Genomic DNA, 6467 nt, shown 5'->3' with positions numbered 1-6467 from the left:
AATTTTTTGTATTTTTAGTAGAGATGGTGTTTCACCATATTGGCCAGGCTGGTCTCGAACTCTTGATCTCAGGTGATCCGCCCACCTTGTCCTCCCAAAGTGCTGGGATTATAGGTGTGAGCCACTGTGCCCAGCCTAACTTTAATTTTCACAATTACCATCAGCTATAGCCAGGTGATTATGAGCCCTGGTTCACAGATCATCTGGGAAGAAATCAAATGCCATCTCTTATGGGAAGTGCTTTTAACAGGAAAAAAAACCAAAAACCAAAAAACAACAACAATAAAAAAACAATTCCCGTCTCTCCATCTCTCCTCTTTATTATGTGATCTTGGATATGTCACTTCATGTCTCTGAGCTTCAATTTCCATATCTGGAAAAAGAAGATAACAGTAGTTTACAGGATCACTGAAGGATTAAATGAGGCAAGGGCTGTAAAGCATTTAGCACACACAGTGCCTGGCACATAGAAAATGCTTAATGGATATTGATTATTATTATATTCATATTACAGGTGAGAAAACTGGGTCTTAGAGGGATGAAGTTCTTGTCTAAGATAATAAAGCTACCGTTGAGAGAAGATGGCCCAAAACAATGTTCTTTGTTATTTCCTTTTACCTTGCATACATAATTTTTGTGTAGTTTCTGTTATGTGATGAGTGCAGACATAGTTTTAGATTAAAAAAATTTTACATTAGAGAGAAAATAATTTTCAAATTGCTACAGAGATATGAAAATCTAACTGAATAACATATCTTCATGCCTATTACTTCCTTTCCTTCTCTTGAATTATTTTCTCACAATAAATTCCCAGACATGGAATTTGATAGGTAAAAGGTAAACATGATTTAGCTTGATGTAAATATGATGGGCAAACATAATTTTGATTCTGGATATAGAACATCCTATTGCTTTCCTAAAGAGTTTATTCATAGTAATTATGTTTGCCTACTGTAATTTGTTTTCTAGTATCCTGGAAATAATTGGAACATTCACAAAGAATGAATAACCTTGCTAGAGGTAAGAAATTGCCAGGCTGAAGAGGAATGTGGTATGAAAGTTTTCAGAATCAAAATGGAGTCAGTTAAGAAAACTCTAACAAAGCTGGGGAAAGTCATGAAGTGAGGGTTTTCATGCATGTATGTCTATAACAGAAACTGTCACAAAAGATTACAAAAACCACAACCTTGCACAAAGGCCATTTCATGAAAACTACATCTGTGAAGACATCTGCCCAGCAACTGCCTGTCCAACCTGACTGTTCTCACTCTTGTTATTGATATTCGTAGCCAAAGATAATTATTTCAGAACAATTATATAATCTTTCTCATTTTTTCTTTAAAAATCTTTGTCTTCCTTTCCCTGCCTGAATACATGCATAGTTTACCATGCCATGCATATTCCTATTGCAATTCTCTGTTCCCAAATAAATACCTCTTGTTTTGAGAGCCTCTCTCTTGCTTAGATTAACAGTGAGAACTGAGAGAAGTTGAATGAATAGGTTGAGAAGATGATAACAATGTTCAGAAACATGAGACAAAACTCCAAGTTACTGTATGTAAGTGTATAGTGTTTTGTCTACTTGAAGTGATGCTCATGTTATATACAGTTAAGGCATGTGCATATTATCTGCAAATGACCAGCTCAGTCTCTGGGCACATGAGGGACCGAGAGTACCAGTTAATCAAACATTTACTTTGTTTACTGGGTCCTGCTGCTCGCTTGGCTTACTTGTCCTCTGAAAGAAACCTCTCCCTCTCAAAGAAACCTGAATCTGAGCTGCTGCCCTGAGTGGGAATCATCCTTCAAATTTTATCTCAGGGCGTAAAGTCCTAGACAACAACAGGGCTGACATCTTTCTGCCCTTGCTATTGATTTTGGGATCTACAGATAGCTCTGAGAGCCTCAGTTCCTTCATCTGTACAAGGGGAGTGATAAGGTAGGTAGTTACTACGTAGGGAGCTTTCTCTGGGCTTTACATATAAGTCATACAGTTCCCAAAGCAATGATATGAAGGAGGGTTTATCAGTAACTTCATTTTACAGGTGAGAAAACTGAGGTTCAACTGGTTAAATAATGTGCCAGGTAACACAGTCAGTAGGCAGAGGGGACAGGATTTGAACTCAGGCACTCAGGCTCAAGAGCTTCAGTCTTCAACACCGTGCATAATATTGAATAATACGGGAGGTTAATGATGCTTAGCTTTAAGGGTTGCTGTGAAGATTCAAGATGAAGGCACATGAGGCATATGGCTTCTGGTCTCGCTATTCTACAAAAATGGTCACTCTTACTAAGTTTGCCAATGACTTCTGTATTGCCAAACCTAATAAACACTAAGAAGGGAAAACTACGCCATTGGCTATTCCTTCTCAGTTTCTTTTTCTCTTTTAACTGACCTCTAAATGTTGGTGTACTCTGGGCTCTGTCCTTGGTCCTTCTCTTTTCTTTTTCTGGGAGACCTCACACAGTCTTATGGTTTAAGACAGGGGTGTCCAATCTTTTGGCTTCCCTGGAACACATTGGAAGAAGAATAGTCTTGGGCCACAAATAGAATACACTAACACTGGCAATAGCTGATGAGCTAAAAAAAAAATCACAAAAAATCTCATAATGTTTTAAGAAAATTTATAAATTTGTTTTGGGCCGCATTCAAAGCCGTTCTCTGTGGCATGTGACCCTCAGACTGCAAGTTGGACAAGCCTTGGCATAAGATATCATCTGTGTCATGTATTTGTTTGAGGACTCCTATATCGGACAGGATTCAACCAGAAAAAGAGGGCAAGTAAGAATATATATTAAAAGATTTATTGCAAGGCATTTCTTATATGATTCTTACATAGCACAGGCTGTCAGGAAGAGCAGCTCTTGGGCATGGGGTGAACTGCTGTTCATAGGCAAAACTTCTTCTTTCTCAGGGAAGCCTCAGTTCTACTTTTAAGGTCTTGCAATTGATTGAATCAGGATAATCTCCCTTAACTTAAATTCAACTGATTATGAGCTTTAGTCACAGCAATAAAATATTTTCACAGTAACACCTAGATTAATATTTGATTAACTGGGGACTCTAGCCCAGGCAACTTGACTTATAAAATTGGCCCTCAAACTCCCAAACTGACATCTCCAACCTCAACCTCCTGGCTGAGCCTCAGGTTTGAATATCCAGCTGCCTATCAGAGATGACCATTTAGTGCCTCAAACTTGACATTCTTTAAACTGAACTTTTGATTTCCTCCTGCTCCCACTCCAGCCTGCTTGCCTCTGTCTTCCTTATCTTTGTAAGTGGAACTACCACTGCCTTATGGAAAAGACCTAAGAGTCATCTTTGATTTTTCTCTCACTTCTGCTTCTATATGCAAGTACTATGTTCTCCACTTCCCAAGTAGATTTTAGAGACCCAGTTCTCACCATCTCCACTGTCTCCACCATAGCCCAGGCTCCCTCATCTCCAGCCTGGATGACTGCCAGAGCCACTTAACCAGTCTCTCTGCTTTCACTCTTGTCTCACTCTCTTCTTTACTCCACCCAGAGTGATCCTTTTAAAGCATAAACCATTTACCTGATTCTGGTAATTTAAAACTCATCAATGAGTTCCCATTGTTCTTAGATTAAAATGTAAATTTCTCACCTCGGTGGAGTATATAAGTCATGTGCTACATAATGATGTTTCAGTCAAATATGGACCATACATACCATGGTGGTTCCATAAGATTATAATGGAGCTGAAACTTTCCTATTGCCTATTGACCCTGTAGCCATCCTAACGCTGTAGCACGATGAACTACTCACATGTTTGTGGTGATGCTGGTGTAAACAAATGCACAGCTCTGCCAGTCCTATAAAAGTATAGTACATACAATTATGTACAGGAAATAATACTTGATAATGATAATAAATGGCTATGTTACTGGGTTATGTATTTACTGTACTCTAATTTTTACTGTTACTTTAGAATGTGCTTTTTCTACTTATAAAAAATGTAAAACAACCTTATGCAGGTCCTTCAGGAGATATTATGGAAGAAGGCATTTTTTTTTTTTTTTTGAGTCTCACTCGGTCGCCCAGGCTGGAGTGCAGTGGTGCCGATCTCAGTTCACTGCAACCTCCACCTCCTGAATTCAAGTGATTCTCCCACCTCAGTCTCCAGAGTATCCGGGATTACAGGCATGCACCACTGAGCCTAGCTATTTTTTTTGTATTTTTAGTAGAGACAGGGTTTTACCATGTTGGCCAGGCTGGTCTCAAACTCCTGACCTCAAGTGATCTGGCTTCCTCAGCCTCCCAAAATGCTGGGATTACAGGTGTGAGAAGGCATTCTTATAGATGACAGCTCCATGCATGTTGTTGTCCCTGAACACCTTCCTGTGGGACAAGATGTGGAGGTGGAAGACAACGGTATTGATGATCCTAACCTTCTGTAAGCCCAGACTAATGTGTTTGTTTGTGTCTTATTTTTTAACAAAAAGGTTAAAAAGTAAAAAAAAAAAATGCTTATAAAGATATAAAGAATGAACATATTTTTGTATGGCTATACAACGTGTTTGTGTTTTAAATTAAGTGTTATTACAACAGAGTCAAAAAGTTAAAAAAATTAAAAAGTTTATAAAATAAAACAGTACAGTAAGCTAAGGTTAATTTATTATTGAAGAAAGAAAAATATTTTTAATAAATTTGGAATAGCCTAAGTGTACAGTCTTTATAGGCTCTAAAATAATATACAGTAATGTCCTAGGCCTTCACATTCACTCACCACTCACTCACTGACTCACCCAGAGGAACTCCAGTCCTACAAATTCCATTCATGGTTAAGTGCCCTATCCAGGTGTCACACTTTTTAAATCTTTTATACTGTATTTTTTCTGTATCTTTTCCAAGTTTAGATATGTTTATATACACAAATGCTTATCATTGTATTACAATTGCCTACAGTATTCAGTAGAGTAACTTGCTGTGGAGGTTTGTAGCCCTGGAACAATAGGTTATACCATATAGCCTAGGTATTTAGTAGGCTATACTATCTAGGTTTGTGTAAATATACTCTATGATGTTTCCACAATGACAAAAATCACCTAACAACACATTTCTCAGAAGGGATTCTTATTGTTAAGCAACACATGACTGTATATGTCTGTTCTTATGACAGTTCCCTGTGACTTGAAGAGCTTAAAGGCACAGAATAAGTGCTCTGTAAATATTAATTGTCATCCTATTGTTGACAGAAACCAATAAAAGAGAACATGCTTGGAAGTTCAGTTACCATGAATTTATCTAGAGCCACTCTTGTCTAATATGGTAGTCACTAACCACATGTGGCTATAGAGCCTGTGAAATGTGGCTATAACAACTAAAGACCTGAATTTTAAATTTTATTTAATATTAATGAATTTAAATTTACATTTAACAATTGAAACTTCATTTAATATTAGAAAATATTTAAGCATGTTTCGAATACTTTGAGTATGTAATCTACTTTTTTTTCTGGTGAAAAGATATACATATATTTAGAATTAGCCAGATGGACTCAGTTTAGATGATCCCAATTTTGTTGGCAACATGGCAACATCCAAAGCATTGTAATCCGGAGCCAGTCGAACATATGCCTTCTTCTCTCCATCAGGGTGAATCAGGGTGTTGACCTTGGCCACATCAATGTCACACAGCCTGTTTGATCTGGTGCTTGTTGTTTTTAACAACCAAATGAACACAAGTGTGTTGTCGTCTATCTTCTTCATGGCAGACTCAGTGGTCAGGGGAATCTTGACGGCATAGTGGTCAAGCTTGTTTCTCCTGGGGGCACTCTTCTGAGGACATTTGGGCTGCCTCCGGAGTCACAGTGTCTAGGGCCGCTGGAAGGTGGGTGACGTGCAGATCTTTTTTTTGTGGCTGTGGACACCTTTCAACACTGCCTTCTTGGCCTTCAAAGCCTTTGTTTTGGCTTCTCCTTTAGGAGCAGCAGCAGCTTCCTTCTTTGCTTTCAGCGCCATCTCATGAAAAGGGTCCGTAATCTACTTTCTCAACCATTAATTTTATGAAATATAAATACAGATTAAGTATTACTGGTGAAATTTAGCATGAGATTTTTCAAACTGAGATGTGCTGTAAGAATAAAATATTTACCAGATTTAAAGACTTAGTGTAAAAAAAGAATATAGAACATCTCAGTAATTTTTATACTGATTACATATTGAAATCATAATATTTTGGATATATTGGTGTAAGTAAAATACTTCATTTATATTGCCAGTTTCTTTTTACTTTTGAAAGTGAAGCTATTAGAAAATTTAGACATATATAGCTGGCTCTCATTATCTTTACACTAGACAGAGCTGCTCTAGATGTTTTAATGATGAGCCCTCAATGCCATTCAACCCCAAAGTTAATTAATTGCACAGCAAGGCACTATGGTGAGTTCCACGGTGGAGATTTAAAGTTCCAATTAAATGGAGACCATATATGGGATTAATGGGGGA

The 6467-nt window shown here is 37.7% G+C and overlaps 1 pseudogene; it reads right to left on the bottom strand.

Annotated features, from left to right (window-relative positions):
• Window positions 5477-5996, bottom strand: RPL23AP41 (ribosomal protein L23a pseudogene 41; annotated as a pseudogene).

This window comes from Homo sapiens, chromosome 3 (genome assembly GCF_000001405.40).
Source record: "Homo sapiens chromosome 3, GRCh38.p14 Primary Assembly".
NCBI lineage: Eukaryota > Metazoa > Chordata > Mammalia > Primates > Hominidae > Homo > Homo sapiens.
Note: the sequence above shows the minus strand (reverse complement) of the source record. Positions and strands in the feature narration are given on the sequence as shown.